This window comes from Homo sapiens, chromosome 2, assembly GCF_000001405.40.
Source record: "Homo sapiens chromosome 2, GRCh38.p14 Primary Assembly".
Taxonomy (NCBI): domain Eukaryota; kingdom Metazoa; phylum Chordata; class Mammalia; order Primates; family Hominidae; genus Homo; species Homo sapiens.
Window position 1 is genome coordinate 216,552,932 of NC_000002.12, and position 26,496 is coordinate 216,579,427.

The 26,496-nt window shown below is 45.5% G+C and overlaps 3 long non-coding RNA genes across 5 annotated transcripts, besides 1 other annotated feature; 2 read left to right on the forward strand and 1 right to left on the reverse strand.

Moving 5' to 3' along the window:
* Window positions 1–512: an enhancer, noted in NCBI's record as "H3K27ac hESC enhancer chr2:217417655-217418166 (GRCh37/hg19 assembly coordinates)". NCBI's record gives its function as "activates a minimal SCP1, AML or CMV promoter by ChIP-STARR-seq in primed H9 embryonic stem cells {active_cell/tissue: H9 hESC(primed)}" and the evidence as "EXISTENCE:reporter gene assay evidence [ECO:0000049][PMID:30033119]".
* LOC101928180 (uncharacterized) lies at window positions 1,121–26,254 on the forward strand. 2 transcript variants are annotated; one of them, XR_427226.4, is made up of 2 exons: window positions 1,121–2,713; window positions 25,990–26,254. It is a non-coding gene; the product is annotated as an uncharacterized LOC101928180 (long non-coding RNA). The 2 variants fall into 2 exon arrangements; XR_001739882.1 differs by lacking the exon at window positions 1,121–2,713 and adding an exon at window positions 15,323–15,588.
* LOC105373871 (uncharacterized) lies at window positions 5,263–24,010 on the reverse strand. 2 transcript variants are annotated; one of them, XR_007088077.1, is made up of 4 exons: window positions 23,735–24,010; window positions 18,519–18,580; window positions 6,554–6,695; window positions 5,263–5,614 (listed from the first exon to the last, which is right to left on the reverse strand). It is a non-coding gene; the product is annotated as an uncharacterized LOC105373871 (long non-coding RNA). The 2 variants fall into 2 exon arrangements; XR_923873.3 differs by lacking the exon at window positions 23,735–24,010 and adding an exon at window positions 19,639–19,706.
* Window positions 5,649–6,821, forward strand: LOC124907976 (uncharacterized). Its single transcript, XR_007088078.1, has 2 exons — window positions 5,649–5,812; window positions 6,637–6,821. It is a non-coding gene; the product is annotated as an uncharacterized LOC124907976 (long non-coding RNA).
* Window positions 26,255–26,496: the final 242 nt, after the last annotated feature.

The following is a 26,496-nucleotide window of genomic DNA, read 5'->3' on the forward strand; positions in this document are numbered from 1 at the left end:
AAAGAGGGAACTCGAAGCCTGGGAATCTAGGTCTGTCTAGCAGTCCTGTTTCTCTCTGTTCTGGCCTCAGGATATCTCATGGGTACACAAACCATAGCCCTTTTGGGGCTTGGGAAGAGGGGCAGGTGGGGGATCGGGACATGGGTAAGAGTGAGTCTTTGTGATCTGCCTTTGTTAAGGCTGATGGCCAAAAGGGCAGACACTTGTCGCAGTTTTCTCCTGGGCTCAGACAGTGGGTCAATGTGCCCCATACAGTGACTGCTTAGATAAAAGTGCCTCAGGACCCTGAAAGAAAGCCTGTCTCCAGGAGGCTACAGTGAAAACAGAACAGGCTGTGTAGTCACACATTCCTGGGTTCAAATTCCAAGTTAGTCACTCAGTATTGTGATCTGGTAGTTCCTCTGAGCCTATATATTCCTTCCTAGGGTGGTTTTAGCAATTGAATAAGAGAGGTGCCTGATGTATACTCAGCACTTAAACAAATGCTAGTTCTATCTTCCTGGTTTTAGGTTCCATGCAGTGCAGAGAGCAGGAGCCCCTGGTTCATTTCCTACTTCTCTTCCCTTGCTCACTTGTTCCAGTCTCAAATACAAATGCGCTCCCACTAGGGCGCTGAGTCTTGATGTGCCCTTGGCTGGGATCTTACTGCCACGGTGTCTCCTCGGGTTCCTTTACCCCACTCAGGCCTCTGCGTAGACATCACCGCCTCAGAGACTCTCCCAGACCAGTGTGTCCAGGGCGGCCTCCCTGTCTTCCATCCTCTCCCCACTCTGTTTTTCTTGAGAGAATTTATTACCCCTGACATCATATTGCCTCTTCCATTAGCACATCAGTTTCACAGAGGCAGGGATTTTGTTTGTTTGTTTTTCTCTTTTTTCCAAGTGTCTATAACAGTCTTAGGTACGTAGTTGGTATTCAATAAACATTTGTTAAAAGATCATACACCAGGAACACTGGGAGGGTGAATTCTGTTTGCTGGTGGAAAAGGATGAGGGGCACAGGTCCCTGCTGCCTGCAGGGACATGTTTTGGCCATTCGGCCCCAAGCAGAATTTCAGCCTTCACTTGTGCCTTTGCCTGGGCACCCTGATGCTTGTCCATCTGTTTGGGGTGACCCTGGAAAGGCGTGCTCTATGGCTGTAGGAGAACCCTAATGCTCCAGGCTCTCCTGCCCAGATCCCTGGATTCAGGGGCCATCTGGTCTCAAAACTCAAATGCTATAGCAAAACCCCCACACTGGGCTGTGCTTTTTATCCTGGGCTTGGGGCATAGTGGGTGGTATGGGGCACAGGACACCGTGACTTCCCGGATCATCCTTTTTACTTAATGGTAATTCACTTGAAGCATCATTGTTACAGAAAATCAACCTCGAATATATCACACCATAGAAAGCATGGTTCCCATCCTTTACAGAAGGTGACACTGAGGACTTTGGAGAAGTTTCACCTTTGGTGGGGTGGGTGAGAGGTGTTGAGCTCTGGAACAGGACCCAGTGTACCTTGGCTTCACAGATCTGCCCTGCTGAGCTGTGGCTTCTTTGCAGGAAATGTTTAGATGCCCTATTAGGGTTTTGTGGGTGGAGGTGTTGGACTGGAAACATTTTCTCATCAAATATGAGCTCCCCTGTGTGTAAGAGCCTCGCTCACAGTAGAAGCTCCATGGCTAGTAGGGAAAGAATGCACCCTAGGAGATGGGCTGGTGGAGGGAACACCTGACTTCGAGTTGGGAGAACTGGGTTCTAGTCCCATCTTTTCTGAGACAGCCACTTCCCTGCGCTGAGCCTCCTACCCCTCCATGGCTGGACTCCATCTGTGAGGTCCCCTCTCAGGAGTTTATGGGCCTTAAAGTCCCAGGAGAAGACCAGTCCTGGCAGAGCTGCACACTGGCCAGACAAAGCATGACTAGCTCCCACCTCTGCTTCATCAGTCCCATGGAGAGAAAGTGGCAAATTCTCTTGCCAGAAACACCTGAGTGCTCCCTGACATCATTTGGCGTTTATAGCTGGCTCTGAGGAGTGGCAGGATGTTCCATTTGCTCACAAAGGCCCTGGGGACCTGTGGGAACTGGAGGTTGTTCAGGGTTGTTAAGGACAGAACAGGTGGAAGGAGAAGAGCCCAGAGGCTGAAGGGAGCCATGCTGTGGGGGCTGGCCAGGTGGGCCAGAGAGGAACTGGGCTTCTCCTCCCAGTCCCTGCCATAGCAGGCAGTTTTATATGGATGTGGTGCGATGTTGCTCACGCCTCAAACTTCTCATCCCATCTGTCCTTCCTGAGCACCACAATGTTGTAAACGGTTTGGGCTGGAGCAGCCCCCCAAGAATTGATCTTGTGTGTCCCCCTCTGTGGCAGTTTTAAAATGTGGCCCCCAAATTCTTTGACCCTCCTTCCATCAAGAATTGGGATCTGTCTTCCCTTGCCCAGAATCTGGCCTTGTGACTACTTGACAAATGAATGCAGTGCTGTGCCAACTTCTGGGCCCAGGCCTTCAGACGCTGGCAGCTCTCACTTCCTGTCTCTTGGGACACTTACTCTTGGAACCCAGCCACTGTGCCCACAAGAAGCCAAAGCAGCCCTTGGGGAGGAGAGGCCCACGTGGAAAGGAGCCCACGGCCCTGGCTGTGCTCCCAGCTGATTAGCACCAGTGTGCCAGGCCTGGGGGCCGCTGTCCTGGGCACCCCCAGTCACGTCGTCCCATCTGACAGCACATGGAGCAGAGGTGAGCTGCCCCACCAAGCCCTCCCCAGGCTGCAGATGCAAGAATGACCACTGCCCCATAAGCCACCATGTCTCAGGGTGGTTTGTTATTTGCAATAGAAAACGGGCCCACCTGGCTCTGGCGAGCAAGCCCTTCAGCCTCCAGATGGTTGCATATATTTTTCTTAAAATAGCACCTATCCCAGCCATCCTGTAGACTCTTCTTTCTTTGGCAAAAGACTCTCAGCCCATCTCTCTAAATGAAGATGGTGATTAGCAGGAATTTTATTCCTAGAAGCCCACTCGCCACTTTTCTCATTTCATTTCTCCTCACAATCCTCTCCTCCTATTTTCGTGTATTTTCTCTTCCAATGGACACCTTCATCTCAGCCTCAGCTCCTGCAACCCCACCAAGGGACTTCACTGCGTGTCTTAGTGGAATCTCAGAGTGCGCATGTGCATGTGTGTGCGTGTGCATAGGTGTGTACAGGGCATAGTGTTGCAAACATTGCAGCTGGTAGTCAAGCAGCTGAAGGTTTCAATTGCTGACATTTTTTTTGTGGGTCAGTTGGAGACTAATCATTCCTCTTTTAAGATATTTTAAAACTAAAATCCACTTTTTCGTGTTATATAATTTTGTGTTTTTCAAATTTTCTACAATGGACATGAATTGCTTTTGTAATGAGGAAAATAAAACTCACTTCCAATGCCAACAGTGACAGTTGACCAGAACTCACATCCTGGCAAATTTCTTTCCAGGCTTTTGTCTATACTCAGACATCTGTTGGGTGTTTGAGATCATCCCATAAATACAGTTCTGGGTCTTGACTTTTCACTGTGCTATGTATTTCAAGAATCTCTCTCAACAAATACTTTCTCAAACCTGATTTTTAATGGCTTTACAGTGCCCTGTCATACGTAGTGTTCTTTATAATGTTCTACCATAAATAAATAATTCTTTTAATTCATTTAGCAAAATGTATGTGACATTTAGATTGTGATATATGTGTGTGTGTATATATATATTCACACACGTGTTAGTGTGCATATATATGTATGTGTGTCACAGCTTTGTATATAAACTTCTAAATCTTTGAACCTTGAAATTCTTGAATGTTTTCACCTTGATTCCTAGAAGTCAAAGTTCCAGGTTAAACCCTACGAACTTCTGGGAGGTTCTTGATATACAGTACAAGATGGTAGAAGCCATCCCTTCTGAAATATCTACCTGGCTGCAGGAACCATCTCCTTATTGCCTGGGTATCTCTCGCCCTTTTATTCCTAGGAAAGGGCCAAGGGTTGGGAAGTTCAAGGGAAGATAAAACCAGGTGAAGATACGGGAGAAAGTATGTAGATGGAAGAAAAAAACTCCTAAACTTAGTTTATAACCTTTGAATGGCTCAGGAGACAGTTTTTGTTTCCTAACCTAATAAGATGAAGGAAGAGAACCAGCAATAGTCACATGGGTAGATGCCTTCCATATATGACTTCACTCAACAGGGCCCCTGAGTTATTATTATCCCTGTTCTATTGACAAGGAAACTTTGGGCTCTGAGAGGTTAAATAACCTGCCCAGGGTCTGATAGCTGGGAAGGATGGAGCCTGGGTGTGGACCCAGGACTGTCTGGCTTCAGAGCCAGCAAAACACACTCCGGCCTGGCCCTGCATTTCCACTGCAGTGTAGGGGAAAGTGAGTGGGCCCTGTCTCGCCCTTATTCTTTCTGCCTCCCTGTTTGCTCTTTCTCCATTTGAATAGGAGGGATGACATGAAGACAAGGAGCCCTTTCCCAGCTGTCACACAATGTGGGACATCATACCCCAGAAGTTATTGAACCTTTCTTTCTCTGCAAATGTCTGAATCTGAGTGAAGCCTCCTACATCCCTCAACCCTGCTTGGATGACCTTTGGCAACCCTGCTGGGCAGAGGATTCGAGGGTTGCCGGGGAGTCCTCTGTGCTGCTCTGACCTGCATTCTTCCAGCACGTGTTGTCTAGGGCCATAAGCTCCCAGCCTGTGTGACGAGGGGAGGGAGTGCGGCAGATCAAGCAGTATTAATAATGTGGCCACTGGATGCTAGGCCTGTCCTCAGAGTCTATGACAGGAGTAGTGCGCAGAGGGCAGCCGAGGGCAGAGGGATGTGCATGCCACTCTGAACCCTGTGTTTAAACCCTAGCATGCCACAGGAGGATTGCTCCTTAATCAGAGCTTTGTCCAAACCCTCACTCTCCTAGCCACTAAATTGCATCTCTTACCCCATCAGATTTCCTTTGCAAAATTTGTCCTCTGGGGAGCCACCCCAGATGGACCCCATGTGGCTCTATTTAGATGTCTCATTCCGTTTGGGGAGCTTCATCTGGAGGTGACATTCAAGCTATTTAAAAACAGTAAGAATGAATCTAGTCCTAGACCAGTCTTAACAGACAGCTCTGAAGGCAGGAGCTGGCTCCCAGAGGCCCTCTGCTGGGGCAAGTGTTAACCCTTTCATTGCTGGACTCAGGGAGGTCTGAACATGCCAGGAGAGAAGGGCAGTAGTGGGGCTCATGGTAGTGGCTGTTTCCCAAGGGACACAGAAGTTTTTCAATATTTTAATAATTGGTATGGCTGTACCAGTGCATACAGATTTGGCTGAGGGAAAAAAATGGAGACTTGCCCATGGTTTCTTAGGGTCATTCCAAGTGTGTCTTTCCTGACCCCTCTGTAGACGTGGCAACAGGTCCTTCTTCCTCTGCATGTCCATTACAGAGCCTAATATCGGTTTCTGGATTCAGGTAACTTCCACGTTCTAGCTCATCAGGGATGAGCCTCATGTGACCCAAAGCCCGTTCCCAATTCCACAAATGAGGGGTCCTCCATCTTCAGTTCCCCCCATGGCAATACGTACCTCCTGATGTTTCTCTTGTAGCAGGCAGCCAATCAAAGGTGGCTGAAAAAAAATGATTGGCTTTTTGTATGGGTTAAATTTGCATAAAATTCCATTAGAGAATTGCCATTCTCATAGACAGTGTGGTCAACAACACAGTTTCTTTCTCCAGTGGTTTGACCATTCTTCTCCTTGACAGTGGCAAGACACTGGCCTGATAGACCAGGAGCTACTCCACCACCAGCAGCTACAAGGCCTTGGGTGAGAATTTCCCTCTCTGAGCTTTGCTTTCCTTCTCTGTAAAACAAGGTCTTGAAAGAGCCAATCCCTCAACCCCTGTTCAGTTTCTGAAATGATTTAATCCAGTGGTTCCCTTCCATTGCTGCAGTGATGTTAAGAAAGTTGGCTGGAGAGCCAGGTAGGCTGGCTTCCAATGCTAGTTCAGCCACTCTCTAGCTTTGGGCATAATAATAGGATTCTAGTGAAGGTTAAATAAGTTCACACAGGTAAAGTGTTTAGAACACTTGGCCCTTAGTAAACCCTCAATGAATATTACCTATTGTTGCTGCCTCTGGTTATCCGTAGGTTTTGTGAAGGCTGGAATCTTACCTGTATTAAGTGATACCATATTCTAATCCTTAGTTGAGTAGCCCATGAGCAGGCTCCCATCAGGGTCTCTATCCTGTATTAGAAGGAACAGAACTGACGTGCACTGAGGTTTCGCTCTGGGTCAGACCTTGTACCAGACACTGAACATGTACCATCTCACCGAATCCTCCTAACAATGGCAAAAGCCAACACCTATTCTTCTCTTGTTCTACTCCTACGGAAAGGGATGGAGGCTCACTAAGATGAAAGCCACATGGCTAATAATTAGTGGATTACGGATTCAGACTAAGGTCTTTGGGGCCCCAAAGCCTATGCCAGGGTGAACAAAATGAATTCCTCTGGAATGACAATTCATTATCAGCCCAGGCTCTTCCCAGGATAGAAAGCTGATACCTGCATTTGTTGAAGGAAGCCATCCTGTGGGTCAGCGCGGGGAGCATTTCCCCTGAAGCCTTCTCCCTCTTCTTTCAAGGCAGGCTTAAGGATCCAAACAACTAAGGAAGATGAAAGAACCTTGTTGATGAAGTCCTCTATCCTGGGAAGAAGAAGTTTCAAAAATAAAATAAAAAATGAAGAATGGGGTGGCGGGGGGCCATTGCTGGGGGAGAGAACAATCCTTGACAAATATCTTCTGTTAATAAATTCCATTTTGCCTTTAAAATATTTGCCAACTATCTAAGCAGGAAAAAATTTTCACATACCAGGTCAAACCATTGCTGAAATGCCTCTGTAGTCTGCCTGCCCACAGCCCCTGTTTCCATAATCTCCCAGGAGGCAGCCTCTTGTGGACTCCCGTGGTCTTCCCCCAGGAAGACTGACCTTTTGCATGAAGGGGATTCAGGGGGATTTAGGCAAGCTCTCCTCCTAGGCCCAGGAGAAGGTGTTCTAGTGGCCCTGCAGGTCTTTCTGTGTACCCATCTTCCTCTTCCTTTCCCCTTCCCCTCCCCTCTCTTCCCCATCCCCTTCCCCTCCCCTCTCTTCCCCATCCCCTTCCCCTCCCCTCTCTTCCCCATCACCTTCCCCTCCCCTCTCTTCCCCATCCCTTTCGCCTCCCTTCCCATTCCCCTTCCCCTTCCTTCTCCCTTCCCCCTCCCCTCCCCCTCCCCTCTCCTCCCTCTGTCCTCCCCCTCCCCTCCCCTCCCCTCCCCCTCCCTCCCCCTCCCCTCTCCTCCCTTCTCTCCATCTCACTGAACCAGGGGGTAGGAAACTTTTCTCATCTCTCTTCTGCTTCCCTCCCACGTTCATCCACCTCTTCTCAGTCAAGAATAACTCTTTCCTTCTCTCAAACTTGCTTGGTTTTGTTGGCTTGGGAGAAAAGAGTTTCTCCAACCCTTAGTTTTCCTGCACTTCCAGCCCTCTGCCTTCATGGATGAATAAATTCAACACATTTTCTGCAGCGGCTACTGGGGCAGCTTCCATTTTGAAAAAGTGTATCAGGCCTCAATATTAGATTTGGAGACAATTCCAGTTTGTCCCAAGGACTTGTTCATTTTGTTTTATTGAATTTGCTTAGGGATATGACCTTTTAAAGGTCCTGTGGGTAGATTTATGCCAAAACATACACCATTCAGGGACTCATGAAACCATCTGGGGAATATCTGGATGAAAAAGAAAGGCATTTGTTAACATTGTTCTGCCAAGGTGGAGAGCAAATGGAGATCTAGTTAAAACTAAAATACGGCCAGAGAGTTGATTATCTTTTCCCCTAGATGGACCATCGTTCTATCTCCAGCTCAACTTTTCCCTTCCTGGAATAGAGAGAGGCTGACTTCCACTACATGGTCATCCAGCCCACCCAGGAGAGTGCATCCAGTAAGGCTGCTTGTTTCAGAAAGAAGCACACTTGCTCTCCTATGCCTGGACCCTGGGCCAGAGTTACTCTTATTTTTCCCCCGGTGTACTTTGGAGACATTTTGAGAGCCTGATTATTTTTTAATTTCTTTTAACTTTTCTTTTTTTCTTTTTTCTAATAGAAACAGGATTTTGCTATGTTGCCTGGGCTGGTCTCCAACTCCTAGGCTCAAGCGAAACTCCCTCCTCTGTCTCACAAAGTGCTGGAATTCTAGGCATGAGCCACCGGGCCTGGACTAAGCCTGATGATTTCTTATTCTATGAGGTCATATAATGGGAGCCTTTGGGTGAGCAAGACTTCTCTGGGGTCAGAATACCCAGAGCCCAGCCCCTATTCAAGTTAACCCTTCTTTCCTTTTTCTCTTCCTTCAACAACTGTTTTGTTGTTGTTGTTGTTGTTGTTGTTTTTGAGACGGAGTCTCACTCTGTCGCCCAGGCTGGAGTGCAGTGGTGTGATCTCGGCTCACTGCAACCTCTGCCTCCTGGTTAAAGCGATTCTCCTGCCTCAGCCTCCCGAGTAGCTGGGACTACAGGAGCATGCCACCATGCCTGGCTAATTTTTTGTGTTTTTAGTAGAGATGGGGTTTCACCGTGTTAGCCAGGATGGTCTCAATCTCCTGACCTTGTGATCTGCCCACCTCGGCCTCCTAAAGTGCTGGGATTACAGGCGTGAGCCACTGCACCTGGCCTCAGCAACTGTTTTTGATGCTATGTTCCCTGCATGGTGCTAGATGCCAAGGATGCAATGATAAATAAGAAAGTTAGATTCTTGCCTCAATGGAACATGCTGTCTGGTGAAAGAGGTAGAAGCAAAGCACCAAGTTGGTGTAGTGTGGCAAGTGCAGCAAGAGCCATCTGAAAACTTTCTGATATCACGTTTTGTCCTTTGCCATTAAAAGCTTCATTTTGCCCGGTGTGGTGGCTCACGCCTGTAATCCCAGCACTTTGGGAGGCCGAGGCGGGCGGATCACAAGGTTAGGAGATGGAGACCATCCTGGATAACATGGTGAAACCCCATCTCTACTAAAAATACAAAAAATTAGCTGGGCATGGTGGCAGGCGCCTGTAGTCCCAGCGACTCGGGAGGCTGAGGCAGGAGAACGGCATGAACCCGGGAGGTAGAGCTTGCAGTAAGCCGAGATGGCGCCACTGCACTCCAGCCTGGGCGACAGAGTAAGACTCCGTCTCAAAAAAAAAAAAAAAAAAAAAAAGCTTCATTTTAGACTGGGCGCGTGGTGGCTTACGCCTGTAGTCCCAGCATTTTGGGAGGCTGAGGAGGGCGGATCGCCTGAGATCAGGAGTTCGAGACCAGCATGGAGAAACCCTGTCTCTACCAAAAATACAAAATTAGCCAGGCATGGTGGCACATGCCTGTAATCCCACCTACTTGGGAGGCTGAGGCAGGAGACTCCCTTGAACCCTGGAGGTGGAGGTTGCAGTGAGCCGAGATGGTGCCATTGCACTCCAGCCTGGGCAACAATAGTGAAACTCTGTCTCAAAAGAAAAAGAAGAAGAAGAAAAAAAAGACTTCAATTCTGACACTTTCATTGGAATTGGAATGGGGCTGGGAGTGGGAACCGGGGCCATCTTGCTGCCCCCAGGGAGAACAGGTCTGAGGTGGAGCCAAGCAGAGTGAGCAGAACTGAGATGAGCAGAGAAAAGCAGGGCCTGGTGAAAGAATGTCGCCGCATCATGCCTCCACTCCATTCCTAAAGTTTTCTGTTTACACGCAAGCCAGTATGTTCCCTCTTGTCTTGGATAAATGCATGTAAACAAACAAATGGGTGAACACAAGTATTCATGGACACAACCCAGGCACCTGCTAAGCAGGCCACCTCGTGTCTGGTGTCCTGGTGTCCTAAGAAGCACCAGCTTCCTTAATCCCCTTGGAGACCCTGTGAGGGCGGGAGGTAACGTGATGGTTAACTGCTGAGAATTCTTAGCCTGCCTACAACGGCCCTGAATCAACAACACAAGAGGCTTCCAGACTAGTGAAAACTTAGACATATAGTGGAGTGTGAGCCAAAGGTAAAAGAAAAGGAGACAAAGAGGCTGCAGAGAGAGACAGGCAGGAATGAGACGGTGTGAGGGAGGTGGGAGGTGGGTGCTGTTTCTAGATTCCTGTGCAGGAAAACTCTGCTGGAAGGCCTGCGATTACATGGCACTCAAGCATGTGGGTTGCTGCTGGAACTGGGTGCCCCACATCACGTAGGCCCTGTGAGCATTAAAATAACAATCTCCATCGTGTGGCACCTGCAGAGAAACATCAAAGGGGTTGAAGCTGTTCAGGCACGAGAAGGTGAGGCCTCACTGCGAGCCTGAAGCTGTTCCCTGAATGATGACCTGGCAAGTGAGTGTGAATGCCTGTCTTCCAGCCTAAACCGTCAGGACGGGGCCCAAGTCCTACTCATCTCAGTAACCTTCAGAGGATCTGGCACATAGAAAGAGCTGGAATCAAACGTGTTTCATAAATAACAAACTGGAAGAGTGGGTAAACTTGGGACCCAGGAGCTGGTTCAAACCCTGGTTTGAAGAAGCGAGGTGGATCCTTGGAGAGATATCGGCCTGCTGGACTGTCCCTTCCACTGAGTAGTGTTGGCAGGGAATAGGGGTTGGCTTCCCTGTCATAGGGTCCTCTTGCCATGCTTCACTGTGCTGCAGGGATGGAGACACACCTGCAAGTTAAAGGGCCATGTTTGGAAAGGAAAGATTGTTAGGAGCCTAGTAGCATCAGAGGCCCAGCTTCCCTGACTTCAAGGACCAACAACGATGAACTCTGTCTTGGAGCTGCTGGGCCCTTTTCATCGCTGTCCAGACTACAACACTTCCAGATGATTCTCACATTACAGCTTCTCAATGTCTGCCCTCGCCCTAACCTCGCTCCCCCGCCTACCCACCCCCCACCCAGTTAGCTACTGGATAGCAATTCCAGTGTCTCAGTGGGATTCAGCGGGGTAAGAAGGAATGCATTGCTATCCCATAACTCGAACCTTCTCTTGGCAAAAAGGAAATTCCATCTGCTCCCAAAAGAGTGGGAGAAAAATGACTGCTGGAATAGCAGAGTTGGAAGATTTAAAGGCTTCTTGGGATAAAGACTGAGGTTCTAGCCCTCACCACATCATTGATTAGTAGGGGGCTCTTGAGCAGTTCAAATCAATTTATTCATTCACATCATTGGTTAGTTGGGGGCTCTTAAGCAGTTCAAATAATTTATTCATTCATTCAACAAGCATTGAGTGATTACTGCATGTCAGGCCCCATGCTATGTATCAAGGATGTAAAGCTAGCCAAAGAGCATTTTCTACCTTCACAGACTATATGGGGAGATAGACAGCAGTCAAGACCATTACTTACAGCATAGTGCAGTTAATGGCAGTATGGTAATGTAATTAGTAGTAGTGGTATGATGGGAGGAACCCAGGATCCATGGAACCCCAGCAGAAGGCCACATTCATGGGCTTGCTCCCTCATCTGTGCATAAGAGCGTGTGGTGCCACATCATGAAAGGAAGGTAGGGAGGCTTTGGTGTGCCTGTTGTGGTCCCAGGTTGGGCTCCAAAGCAAACACTGAGCGGTGAGTGGTTCTCCAACCCCACTGCACATTCTAATTAGAGCCTGGTGGAGAGCTTATTTTAAAAGGTAGATTCCTGGACCTGACTTCAGGAATTTAGATTTATTAGGTTCGGGGTAATCTGCATTTTAAAGAAGTGCCTTGGGCTGATTCTGATGCAGATGGTCCATAGACCACACTTTGATAAGCACTGTCTGTAAAGTCCCTGACAACTCGAGGGTACTCCAATTTCTTCAGCTGTAAAGTCATTTTCTTTGAGTTAGCAGAAGGAGCATTCATGATGGAGCCTGGATTTTGGCTTCTTCCCCAAATTGCAGGCTTCAACTTTTTCTCTGTGTTACCAGCCAAAATAATTGTCAGGCTGTCAGTTTGACAGAAAGCCCACCTATTCATGCAGTTATTCTTGATTCAGATGTTTGGGGAGAAATAGAGTGAAACTACAATATGGAGTCTAAATTGTTTCCTGTTAGAAAAACACCTAAATATCCTAATAGTTAGGAGCAAATGCTTGTTCCTCGGTGCTGCAAAGAAATAGCACTTGAACATAAATTTAATTTTCTCAGTAAGGCAATTCTTTACTTCTATAGAAGGGTGCAACTCACAGATGGAGTAATGGTGAGAGCACACCTGCATGGGGAGGGGAAGGGGTTCTTATTCCTGATGCAGGTAGCCTGTACTGCTGCGTCGTTCCCCTATCGGCTAGGGTTGGACCATACAGTCTAAACTAATTCCTGTTGGCTGGTTTTTTTTTTGTGGTTTTGTTTGTTTGTTTGTTTGTTTGTTTGTTTGTTTTTGAGACGGAGTCTCGCTCTGTCGCCCAGGCTGGAGTGCAGTGGCGCGATCTCAGCTCACTGCAACCTCTGCCTCCTGGGTTCACGCCATTCTCCTGTCTCAGCCTCCCTAGTAGCTGGGACTACAGGCCACCATGCCCAGCTAATTTTTTGTTATTTTTTAGTAGAGAGAGTAGGAGTACGAGCCGGAGTGGCAGGGTAAGTAGTATGGCGGGAAGAGTGTTTAAAGAACAGGTGACTCAGGATGGCTCAGGTCAAAGCAGGTGACTGCGGGAACAGATGTGAACTACTAATTAGAACTGGTGAGAAAGTTGTTTACTGAAACTAGAGGCAAGGGGGCGAAGAGAACCAGAAAGTTAAACTTAAAAATGGAGAATCAAAGAATAAGAGAGCTGAACATACTGACATATTAATTCTTTGAAGAAAAACTTGGAGTTCACTATATCTAACATAATTAAGGCAGTAAAAAGTATGAGTTAAGAGCATGGGCTCTGAGGTCATTTGGCCTAAGCTTCCAATCTGAGCTTATTCCCTTAACAGCCTTAAGACCTTGGGCAGTTACTTTACCTATCTATGCCTCAATTTCCTTATATGAAAACAGGACTGATAGTAATGGCACTTACCTCAAGGGGTGCAACACGAGTTAAATGGCTTAAGGCATACAATAAGAACTTAGCATGGCGCCTGGTGCTTATAAACAAGAAATACTACCCGTTATTAACAAAGCTGAGTGCACAAAAATTCCCAGGAGCTAGAAATAAAGAGAGAACTGAAAACTAGAAAAGCGAGCACATTGGCTGTCTCTTACAGTTACCACAGATGAGAGTGGTATTGGTATTCGAGCTGGTCTTATTTGCACAGAGGCTTAGGCTTTAATACTGTTCAGGGACAGGAAACAAATTCTTGAGCCTGTGGGAGGTGGCGTGTTGGCACTGAGATGTCAACCTAAAGCCAGGACCCTGGAAGGACAACGTCCTTTTAAAAATTGCATAAAAAAGTCAATCTCTAGCAGAAAGAAATGAGACGAAAGTATGTTTATCTTGAACTGAGCTTTAGCTCAGGAGGGGGAAATGTCTCCCTTAAGAATTCAGAACCACTGGCATGAGCCTTTCATGGGTTTGGGGTTTAAATAAATAGTTCCTGCACAACCTAGAAACCCCTGGGCTAAGAAATAACATAAAATTTGGTATGGGCCAATTATACTCTGTTAGAAGCAAGCAGTTTGATTACACTGGTTTCTCCAGATTAAAGTCCTGCTGAAGATGAGCTCACAATCTGAAATCATACAACACTGAAGGAAAAAACATAAGCAAAAGTCTGCAGACCCGGCTGGGCGCGGTGGCTCACGCCTGTAATCCCAGCACTTTGGGAGGCCGAGGCGGGCGGATCACGAGGCCAGGAGATCGAGACCATACTGGCTAACATGGTGAAACTCCGTCTCTACCAAAAATACAAAAGAAGAAATTAGCCAGGCGTGGTGGTGGGCGCCTGTAGTCCCAGCTACTCGGGAGGCTGAGGCAGGAGGATGGCGTGAATCCGGGAGGCGGAGTTTGCAGTGAGCTGAGATCGCGCCACTGCACTCCAGCCTGGGCGACAGAGCGAGACTCCGTCTCAAAAACAAAACAAAACAAAACAAAACAGAAAACAAAAAAGTCTGCAGACGCAACAAACAACAGGATTAGACTTTCAAGAGCCGTAGATTACACAACCATCAGAGGAGATAATTAAGTATGTTAAAATGATGAATAATATAAAATAAAGCTTGAAAAACGTAAATGAATAAAATCAGGCAGGCTTTAAAAGTAAAACAAATACTACCATTTCTTGGAAATAAGAAAAATATTCATTAAACTTTAAAACTCAATGAACAGATTAAATAGTAGATTAGGCATAGTTGAGAAACAATTAGAAAACTTGGAGCTAAATGTGGGAAAGTATCTGGATGGAGACCGGAGATGAAAACTCTGAAAGAGATATTAGGAGACATGGAGAATAAAATGAGAAAGTCTAACAGATATTCAAGAGGACTTCCAGGAGAGAAAACTGAGAGAATGGGGTGAGGCAATGTTTGAAGTGAAGGTGGCTGAGAACCGATGAAAGATAAGAACATTTAGATTCAGGCTGGGTGTGGTGGCTCATGTCTGTAATCGCAGCACTATGGGTGGCTATGGTGGGAGGATCGCTTGAGTCTAGGAGCTCCAGACTGCCTGGGCAACAAAAAGAGACCCCATCTTTAAAAAAATTTTAAAAATTAGCTAGGCATGGTGGAGTGTGCCTGTAGTCCTAGCTACTTGGGATGCTGAGGTAGGAGGATCGCTTGAGCTCAGGAGCTGAGGTTGCAGTGAGCTATGATCATGCCACTGCACTCCAGCCTGTGTGATACAGCAAGACTCTGTCTCAAAAAAAAAAAAAAAATTTAGATTCAGGAGTCACAATGATGAACCCCAAAATAGATAAATAAAACCAAATGCTCTTTTAGATATACACTTTATAAAGATACACACTCTATATATTTTATAAAAGAAGCCAGAGAGAAAAGACTGAGCTCTACTACAGTGGAGCATGCCAAGGGAGAAGCCATGGAGATCACATGAATGGGAGTGTTCCCAGGATCTGTGACCTAGGTGTGGGGCCTGCATAATGAGAAACCTGTGGCCGATTGAATGCGACACAGGTAGGGGCTCAGGCAGAGGCTGAGATCAAGGATGACTTTAAAAGCAGATGGAGGATTTGGACTTGGTACAGAAAACTTCAAGGACCTCTTGCATTGTTACAAGGATCCAATGAGACAAGATAAATAGGCTTGTTAACTAAAAAGCAATTTTCAAAGGATGATTTCGCAGTGACTATGGTGTGGAAATGAAGCTATTCTGAGACTCTTTGTTTTCAACTTCAAACTGCTATTTTTTGTGTGTTTTGTTTGTTCTTTCCTTTCTTAACCTCTCTTTAATAGCACAGAGAGGTTTTGCAACAATCTGAGGTGTTTGAGAAAAGTGTTAAATTAGTTTGTGCAAATGCTTGCTATTTCACTGCAGATTAACCAGGCTGTGTGCAATGTGGACATATATTCTGGAAATGGCATAAATTATCCCACTTCGTTTGCCTTCTCTGTTGCTTGGTGAGACTGACCCTACTTGGAAAAACTTCAGATTGGGCCAAACAAGGGTATTCTTTGGGCTGAAAGAATGTCCCTGAAAACTCTGATTTTATATACAGGTTGGTATTTTTATGTATTCTCCATTTTCCTGAGCTGTTGTTGACAAATGGAAAGTTGAAAAACATTTGCCCAAGAAGTCCCAATAAAGCGTCATACACAGCCTGCCAAGAAATGTGAGTGAATTAGCAAAGGCTGGCCCAGGGAAATGAGGAGATGGGCTGGGTACCACCCAATTCACCCCACCGCCCACCAAGAAGCTATGATCTCACTGGCCTGTGACATGAGGACACATCTGGCTCAGGGAGATTCAGAGAGAGCTTGTTCTTGCAATACATTTTTTATTGAGTGATGACGATGTGGCAGTCACTGTACTCAGTGCACTGGGGACACTACAGTAATCCTACTCTCTGGAGCTTAGAATCTAGTGCAAGATGCAGATAAGTAATTATGATACAGCTCTGAAAGTATTATGTAATGGCACTTATAAACATAGCAATGGGGAGAAGTAATATCTGAGGCTTGTGAAGAATAAAGTAAGAGTTGCTGAGAAAAGGATATTCAAAGAAGTGTACATTGTTCAATTTTTATGGAGCACGAAAATGAGAGTGAACCATGAGAAATGTTGCTGGAAAGTCAGGCAGGAGCCAGACCAGAAGGAATCCTGTAAGCCATGCAGAATAAGCCTTGATCTCGAGGACTTTGGGGGCATTGAAAAGTTTTACACAGGAAAGTAACCTGATTAGATTTTCTTTTTAGAAAACTCACTCTGGCTGTTGTCTGGGGATTCCATTAGAGGAGAGAAACAGGAGGCAGGGAAATCCATCATATGGCTTTTGCAGCAGTTGCAGGCAGAACAAGGTGACAGGGGTGAAGTGGAAAGTGGGAAAATTAAAGAGGTGCTTCCGCAGGGGAATTGGTAGGAGTTGGTGATTGAATGTGGACTTTGAGAGAGAGTGAGGACTCAGGATCATGTTCAGGGTCCTGGTTTGACCATTAGGCAGATGATAGGAAGAAGTTCTCTCCTATGTCAAGAGAGAGTTGTAACCTGCAGTGGAGCAGAACAGATAAAGTTTAAGGAAACTTAGGGCCAGCTTCACAGCTTTTCAACCTGTGCTGTCTAATGGGGACTGCATTCAGAAGGGCCCAGTGCATGCTTTGCTGGCCATCTTGAAATCTGTAATACATTTATCTTTGAATGTGTGTTTTGTAAGTGAAGAGTGGTAGAACAATGGGGCATGGTCATGAGCAGAGGAGGCGTTTGCGATGTGTGTGTCCTCCATTCCTTGCTGCCCCATTCAGATAGAGCATTTGGGATGCCTCGTGAACACCCAATTCCAGTGGACATACCACGCATGGTGGCTCAGAGAGACTCAAGCAGGTATAAGATAAGCATGGTCTAGAAGCTGATGGCTTTGAGTCTCACTGAACAGAGAGATTTCCTACTCCTGTTCCCTATTAGCGTGACTATGACTGAGTAAGTGGGTGCTGACTGTGCCGCAAGGCTGTGCTTTCCATTCAAATAAGAGCTTGTTTCAAATGCAGAAAGAAGGCAATGGTGATCTTCTTAAGAACAGAACGACCAAGGAAGCTTCCTTACTCCTGTTACTTCCCTGTGTCAGCCAACCACTTTTGCTGAAACTGATGATATAGAAGGAAAGAAAAACACAGGGCAATGTGTAGTTTCTTGTCCTCTGAGTCCTTCCTTACTTCTCATTAAATTGAAGGTAGAATTTGAAATAAAATATGGAATTTTAAGAAACAGAAAAAATAAATGGAAAGTAGAGAACATTGGTAGAATGCACACTTAAGTCTGTGCAGTGTTTCTACTTTTCTGGCAAGAATGAAATACCTATGCATGTATAAGCTACAAAATACAAATTGTGTAATTTCAGTGATTCTTTTTTTTTTTTTTTTTTTTTTTTTTTCAGAGACAGAGTCTTGCTTTGTTGTCCAGGCTGGAGTGCAGTGGTGCAGTCATAGTTCACTGAAACCTTGAACTCCTGGGCTCAAGTGAACCTTCTGTCTTAGCCTCCCAAGTAGCTAGGACTATATCTGCATGCCACCATCACCTCCAGCTATTTTTTTTTGAGGTGGGTAGAGATGGGGTCTTGCTATGTTGCCCAGGCTGGTCTCGAATTCCTGTACTCAAGCAATTCTCCTGCCTTGGCCCCCAAAGTGCTAGGATCATAGCACAGTACCCAGCCTTGAGTTAATGTTCTTATGTTTGTATTTCACAATATAAACAGCAAAATTCATGCTAATAATTTAGTTTTAATTTTTCTTTACTTAGAAGGCCACTTAATGACATTTTTAGCAAATAAAAACACTATGACAGGCCTGGTGTGGTGGCTCATGCCAGTAATCCCAGCACTTTGGGAGGCCGAGGCAGGTGGATCACTTGAGGCCAGGATTTCAAAACAAACCTAGGAAACATGGTGAAATGCTATCTCTACTGAAAATACGAAAATTAGCCAGGTGTGGTGATGCACATCTATAATCCCAGCTACTCAAGAGGCTGAGGCACAAGAATCGCTGAGCCCAGGAGGCAGAGGTTGCAGTGAGCCGAGATCACGGCACTGCACTGTCGCCTGGGCAACAGAGCAAGACTCTGTTTTAAGACAGACAGATAGACAAACAAACAAACAAACCCACTATGACAGTGAGAATGCAAAATGGTACAACTACTTTGGAAGACAGTTTGGCAGTTTCTTACAAAGCTAAACATAGTCTTAACACATGATCCAGCAATCACACTCCTAAGTATTTACCTAAATTAGTAGAAAACTTATGTCCACACAAACATGTGCTATAAACATGAATGTTTATAGCAGGTTTATTCATCATTGCCAGAATTTAGAAGTAACCAAGATGACCTTCAGCATCTATTTGTGAATGAATAAACAAACTGTGGTATATCCATACAATGGAATATTATTCAGCGATAAAAAGTGAGCTATCAAAACAGTGAAAATATAGGGAGGAAACTTACATGCATATTGCTTAGTGAAAGAAGCCAATCTGAAATCTGTATGATTCCAATTTGATGACATTCTGCAAAAGGCAAAACCATAGAGTAAGTTATAAGATCAGTGGTTTCCAGGAGCCTGGGAGTAGAGGAAGGAGAGAGAAATGGATAGGTGGAGCATGGGAGGTTTGTAGGGCAGTGAAATCATTCTGTAAAATGATGGGCACATGACATTATGTGTTTGTCAAAACCTGTACAATGTACACCACAAAGAGTGAACCCTGACTCAGCGGACAAGGAACTCTGTATTTTCTGCTCAATGCCAAATGGTACAGCCACTTTGGAAGACAGTGCAAACAATGTAAATTGTGAACTTTGTTAAAAATAGTGTGTCAATATTGGCTCACTCATGGTAACGAATGTACCACACCAGTGCAAAAAAGGAGGGAGGTATATGGGAGCTCTCTGTATTATCTGCTCAATTTTTCTGTAAAAAATAGTCTATTAATTTTTTTAAAAAAGGGAAAAGGAATCTTTGTCCCATAGTGTATTGACTTTTGGGAGTGACTAAGAGGCTGATGGTGGTGAAAGTGACAGCCATTCTAGAAAGTCCTCAGAATGACTCATGGGGCTTTTTCCTGGGCTTTAGCCCCCTTCTTTGTCAACAGGGAGTGGAGTTTCAAGGCCTCAGTTGCACGCTGGCTTCTCCTTTGGGCACTGCCTAAACTTCAGGTGGTCTTTGTCAGAACTGGTGCTCAGGTGTGCTTTGTAACAAGCAAGGGCTCAGCCCCTCCTCTCTCCCCTACCTTGCCCCATTTCAGAATTTAGGAATCATGATTTCCTTCCATATCTATAAGAGATGGGGACTGACGTTTTTCCCTGGACAATAAATAATTGTCAGCATTTTCACAAAGGAGACTTTAGTACCGTCTCTGCCACTCACTGGGTGACTTTGACCAAGTTGCTTCGGCTCTCTGGGACTCATTTGACCTATGTGTAAGTGTAAGTGATGTGGAGGGAGATAAATTGGGTGATTTTCCAAGAAAAGAACCTTAATATGTAAAAAGATATAGGTGGGACTGCTCTGGTTGAAGGCAGAGAAAGTAGAGAGAGAGGCAGCCTGGAGTTCCGACCCACCACTCACCTGTCCTCTTGACCCACTGATGCCCTTGAGCTCCAGAATTTCTAGAACCCCAGGGTAGCATGGAGCACAGTTTGAGAACTCCTGATCCACCCACCTCATTTTATAAACAGAAGGGCAAAGGACTTGCTCAAGGTTGTACGAGGAGATAGTGCTCAGGATGGAATTAAGACCCAGGTTTCTGGACATCTAGTTCCGTGCTCTTTCCCCTCACTGTTTTGCCCCAGTCCTGTTGCGGCCACTTTTTGTTTATTGAGTAGGAAACACCCTCCCAAGCCCAAACATGAGCTCTGCCCTCTGGGAATGGAAACAGCAGCCCACACACAAATCGTTGCCACTGCCCATGTACCCACCCAGGGTGCCAGCAATACAATCCTGACTCTTACAGATAATGTGCGTTTATAACCCGCTATGAGATTCCTCAGGTTCCTAGGCCTCTGAGATCATTCTGTCAGGGATTTGGATGAACCATTGGCTTAGAGTTTTAAGCAGCTTTAGCAATTGTCCTCTGTGCCCACATAGCACTTAGTTATGCACAGTCCTGTATTCTTATAGCCTCATCCTTTTGGAGTATTGGTCTTAACTCTTCAACTGGATGCTCTACTCTGTAAGAACACAGTTCCCCTACGCCTAATTTTGTGTTCTGTACACAGTGGGTGCTTAGTTAAAAGTGCTCAATCATGCTTCTTTTCAAGGTCATTCCACCCATTCCTGCTCATAAAATGGGTAGGGGAGCCACATCAAAGCGAGTTCCAGAGGCAGGCCAGCTTTTGACCTATCAGAAAGGGCAGTGCACCACCTCGCCCAGCATGGAAAAAGTGAGAAGGAACTAGGCTGGCGGCCAATGAGGGTGTACTACAAATAGCCGCTACAAGTTTGGAACATTTCCTGTGCTGAACCCTGCAGATGTGTGATCTCCGGGAATGCTAAAAACAAACTTGGATGGACTTATTCCTACTCATGGTACAGATGAGGGAACTGAGATGTAGAGAAGGGAAGTAACTTGGAAAAGGCTTTAGAACTATGATTAGAACCCAGGTCTAGCTGATGCCAAAGCGCAAGTTAATAATCTCCATATCAGGATGACCAAGGGCACTATAATTGGGTTTTTAAAAGTCCTAGGGTCACATAAAGAGCTTGCATATCACATTTTTTGATAGCCCTCTGCCCAGTCTTTAACCTTCAGCCCACCTTGCTTTCTCTCCCCCTCCTGCAGCCTCCTAAAGAGTTTAGGACACTGGGCTGGGTGCGGTGGCTCACGCCTACAATCCCAGCACTTTGGGAGGCCGAGGCGGGCGGATCATCTGAGGTCGGGAGTTCGAGACCTGACCAACATGGAGAAACCTCATCTCTACTAAAAATACAAAATTAGCTGGGCGTGGTGATGCATCCCTGTAATCCCAGCTACTCAGGAGGTTGAGGCAGGAGAATCACTTGAACCCGGAGGCAGGGGTTGCAGTGAGCCAAGATCATGCCTTTGCACTCCAGCCTGGGCAACAAGAGCAAAACTCTGTCTCAAAAAAAAAAAAAAAATTTAGGACAACGAATGAAAGGGCTAGAGAATGTAGAGCCAGTGAGTTTATAAACCAGGCATGTCAACATGGCTCAGAGACCTCCAGGGGTGGGGAAAGAGGGTGCTGGATGAGACATGAACACAGGCAGAGATAGGGTAATGAATACAGAAAATCTGTAGAGTTTATCCCTGGGGGCCTGTAAATCTGGAACACTGTGGTCTAACTGAGCAATCCTGCTAATGCAGGCATGATGAGTAAAAGCTTCTCTCAAAGCTGGGGACTCTGAGAGTGTAGCAGGATGGTTACTCAGGCATCTCGGAGTAGGACAGACCTGGATTTCATTCTCAGATCCAGATCTGTCACTTATTAGCTGAGGGGCTTGGGGCAAATTACTTAAGCCTTTAAACTTTACTTTGCCATCTGTATTAGGAAATAATACCAACCTCAGAAGGTTGCAAATATTAAGTGAGATTCTTATTGGGTGCTTAGCATTATATCTGGTGTATTGTAAGCATTCAAGAAATAGTTGCTATTATTGTGATTATTATTAATGTTATTCAGGTTCAGTTTCTTATCAAGTAGGTATATATTTTTTTGATGGCCAAAGGGTTTGATAGCTCCTGTTAGGGACCCAAGTCAGCCCTTACACTCAGACTCCAGTGCAACAATTAACTCTTGCTCTCTGACCCACAGCCTCTGCAGTGTTTGTGTATCTGGAAGTTTACCTGGTGGAAAGAAAACTGTGTAGCTTCCGTCCAAAGATAGATAGGGTGGTAGCTCGGAAGAAAAATTACGCAGATCCCAGAACCTCTAACTTTCTTGAAAACTATTGAAACTTCCAGAATACCCAAAATCATGAAACCAGTTTTAAAGTTCTTGCTAGTCTGCAGGCAACCACAGACTCAAAATATTTGGGCTAGACTCTTCTATGGAAACAGAAATCATCTGGCCTAATCTCTTCTTTTGACAGATCAAAGCACCAAGTCCTGGAGAAAGGGTGAAATTTTGACTAGACCTACAGATTATTAGAATTGCAAGGCAGCGAACAGCACCACAAAGGACTGAGAATGAGACTCAGCCAAAAGTTTCTGTGGATCTGGTGGCCTCCAATCCACACGATTTCCTGACAACTCCAGTGCACGATGGTTGTTCCCACTGCTGGGTGACTAGTGTGGCAGGCTTCTGCTGTGTTGCCCCATTGCTCTTATGACTGATTGGCTTGTAGCCTGCTGAACCCAGGGGATAGTGAGTTCTTTGAGGGTAGGGGACACTTTAGCAATTAGAATCCTAAAATCACAAACATGTTTTAGCTGGAAGGAACCTTAGAAACGCCATTCTCCCATCCCTTTATTCTACAAATGGGAAGACATAGGCTCACATAGGGAAGGATCACATTTATGGTCACCAGTTTCATGGTGGCAGAGCCAACTCCAGAGCCTCGAATCCTCTGACCACTTCACCAAGCTGTGTAGTTGCACTGCACACTCAGTAGAGCCTCAATATGCTGATGACTCATCCATTTTTACCCCTAGATCTGTCCTCTACTCCTCTACCCAGAATTTCTGACTTGCAAATCCTACTTCCTATTCAACATCTCAACTTGGATGAGTAACAAACATCCCCACATGTCCAAAATGGGGCTCAGAGAAGATTGGGCATGTGTGAGTGTGCATGTGTGGTGTCAGGAGGTGGGAATAAGCACTCATCACACATTAGGTTCTTGTTGGCTAGAAACACTGTCTAGCTAATACCAGTGGTGCTAATAGATTACATAGGGCAAAAGAAGGGTTGTGTGCTCTCTGTAGCAAATGCCAAAGAGTAGCGTTATCATACTGGGGAAGTTTCAGAGCCAGCCCTTCCTCTTGCCCACACATATAGCTGGCATACACTGGCATAAGGAGGAACACACTGGGATGTCAACAGAGTCACACACACACACACACACACACACACACACACACACACACACTCAATGTTGAAAACTGTTGTAACTCTTGTATTATTGGTAGATTGAAACTACCGTGTTCAATTCCACATAATATTAAAAAACTACTTTAATCTGAAACTTTATTAGACCAGCTGTTATCTGTTATCACCTGTTCACTCCTGAAAACTTTTTTTTTTTTTTTGAGACAGAGTCTCACTCTGTCGCCCAGGCTGGAGTGCAGTGGTGCAATCTTGGCTCACTGCAACCTCCACCGCCTGGGTTCAAGCGATTCTCCTGCCTCAGCCTCCCGAGTAGCTGGGACTACAGGTGCATGCCACCACGCCCGGCTAATTTTTGTATTTTTAGTAGAGACGGGGTTTCACCGTGTTAGCCAGGATGGTCTGGAACTCCTGACCTCGTGATCCGCCCGCCTCAGCCTCCCAGAGTGCTGGGATTAAAGGCATGAGCTACCGCGCCCAGCCGAGAAAAAATTTTATTATAGCTTCTATAGTGCTATTTCTTACAATTCTGATTTTCTTTTTTCAGGATCTACCCTGTTTGAATTGCCTTTATGACAAAAACTGCAAAATGCAGCCCCAAGGGAGAGAATAATATAACTCATTATATAAGATCGATCAGAGATTAAATGAATACCTACCAAATACCAATGTCTTCATTGATGCTAAGCTTCTCCCTCTTGCAAAGATAATCAACAAATTCAATTGCTTCCTAAGTTGATGGCGGTGGAACAGTGCGAGCCCTCCAATTTGCTGTGGCAGGAAATAATACATCTGGTGTCCTCAACCACCACTCTGATTTGTTCAGATGACAACTCAACAGGAAGGGCCTCTCAAGGTGCAGTCCTTTCATCTTTAAGACGAGAGATTGTGTTTCTCCTAAGATAATCTTGCTTTTTCTGATTTCCACAGTAGAATGTTTTATGTGCTGTGGAAAAAGAATAATACAATCAGGAACATATCAAGGTCATATCAAGACATACCAAGGTCATCCACACAGGCCTTCTTACTTTCAGTGGACTGGAGATAGACTGTCAGTAGATGAACTCCTCAGACAGTCTTCATGGACTCTATTCTGTTTCCTTTTGTGGGTCCTTAGGAAATAGAGAGTGCTAGAATAACTACATTCTAAACGTCATAGAATAGAGATTAGGGATAAAACAGAGAAGGAAAAGAAGGGAAGCAGAAAAAGACCAAGATACAGTTGATATCTTAGCAACAGGCAGATCACACATGTCACTATTCAGTATCTACAATTTTCTTTCCTTCCTTTCTTTTTCTTTCTTTCTCTTTCTTTCTTTCCTTCCTTCCTTTTTTTCTTTTTCTTTCTTTCTTTCTTTCTTTCTCTTTCTTTCTTTCTTTCTCTCTCTTTCTCTCTTTCTCTCTCTCTTTCTTTCCTTCTTTCTTTCTTTCTTTCTTTTTTCTTTCTTTCCTTCCTTCCTTCTTTCTCTCTCTCTCTCTCTCTCTCTCTCTTTCTTTCTTTCTTTCTTTCTTTCTTTCTTTCTTTCTTTCTTTCTGACACAGTCTTACTTTATTGCTCGGGCTGGAGTGAAGTGGCACGACTATGGCTTACTGCAGCCTCAACCTCTGGGCTCAAGTGCACTCAAATGATATTTCCACTTCACCCTCCCAAATAGCTGGACTGCAGGAGTGACTCACCATGCCTGGTCATTTTCTTTTGTTGACCATGCGGTCAAGACAGGCATCCTCCTTCTTGAAGACGTCTTCCTTAGCAGCCTGGACAAACTGAAATTTTTCCTGAGATGAAAGTTCTGTTTTTCTCAGGAGACACACCCCAACACACACACACTAGAGGCTGAAGGTGACTTTGCTCATGCCTTTATTGCATCCCCACAGGTCCCAGCCCCAAGGATGGAAGAGAGCAAATGAATGTAGACATTTTCCCTTGGATAGAAAAAAAAGAGAGAAAAAAGGCTGAAAGTTTGTTCTAGTTTGAGAGAAAAAGAGTTAACAGTAGGGAAAAGGAGGGGGTTTTGCTGGGGTGTGGTGAACATGCAGAAGGTTGTTTATAAGGTGTTTCTTAAAAGCGATCTTTCAACAAGCTGCTCATCTATCTATTGCTGCGTAACAAGCCACTGCAAAACTTAGTGGCATCAAACAAGCACGATTTATTAGTTTTTCCAGTTCTGTGGGTTTACCGAGCAGGTCTTCTGTTGGCCTCATGGGGCTCCCTGTCCAGCTGCATGCAGCAGGCAGGTTTGTGCAGCCGGCTGGGCCTCTGTCTCCTTTATCCTGAAAGAGGCTAGACCTTGCCTCTAAACATGGCAATGACAGTGTCCCAAGAGAGTGAAAGTAACATCTACAATGCAAGATCCCTTAAAGATCAGCTCAGAGATTCACACTGGGACATTTCCGCCATATTCTATTGATCAAAGCCAGTCACAAGGGCAACCCATGTCCAAGGGATGGAAAAATGGATTCCATCTCTCAGTACATCTATAAACTGACAGAGTGAAGAGAGGAGGGCACAGGGGAAGCATGACTCATCAGTGGTCATTATCATAACAACATATCACATGAAGCAGTTGTCAGATATTAGAATGTTGGAACCAAAAGGGACCAACCAGGACAGGAACCCAGGACTCTTGACTTCCAGTCCAAGCCTCTTCCCACTAAGCCAGTTATTCCAAGCAATACTTAGCTCTCTCTCAACTGCCAGGAGATTCAAGCACATCATGCTGCTAGATGTGGCTTCCAGCACCAGCTCAGTCAAATGTGGAGAACCACCTTCTGCCCTAAGCAAGCCTGGCTTCTTCCCACCCTTCCCCTTGCTTCCCACACCATTTTTATACATTCCATAGACTCAAAACATTCTCCGTAAATTTTAACAAGTTGATGAGGAATTTCTACAGTGAAACTCTTTTTCCTTTTGCAGCAGAATGGAATAACAGCAAACAACATTGGAGGAGGACTTGTCTGGGAGAGCAGCCATTTTAAAGAAGAGCACATTAAGTCACAAACAGTCGCAGCTGATCTACTTTGCAGCATCGCCATACATGCCTAACTAAATATTGAAATCCCGGGAAAAACTCACTGTGCATCATGTTCCAGAAACTAGCTTTGCAAACAGTCTTTTCAGATGTGTACATTTTGTGTATTTGAGGCATATAATATATATATTTTCCTCCATGTTCACCCAACCTTTACTCCTATACTTAATTCAGCTGCACTGCCATAAAAGCATTTCTATAAAGTACTTAATTTCAGGTGAGGCAGGGCAAAGAGAAGCCCCCAGGCCCAGGCTCTCCCTCTAGGAGAGTAGTTTTCTACTGGGGATGGTTTTGTCTCCCCACCCCCACCCCACATCTTTGGGGACATTTGTCAATGTCTGCAGCACCTTTTATTGTCATGGAGGAGAGGTACTACAGGCATCCAGTGGGTA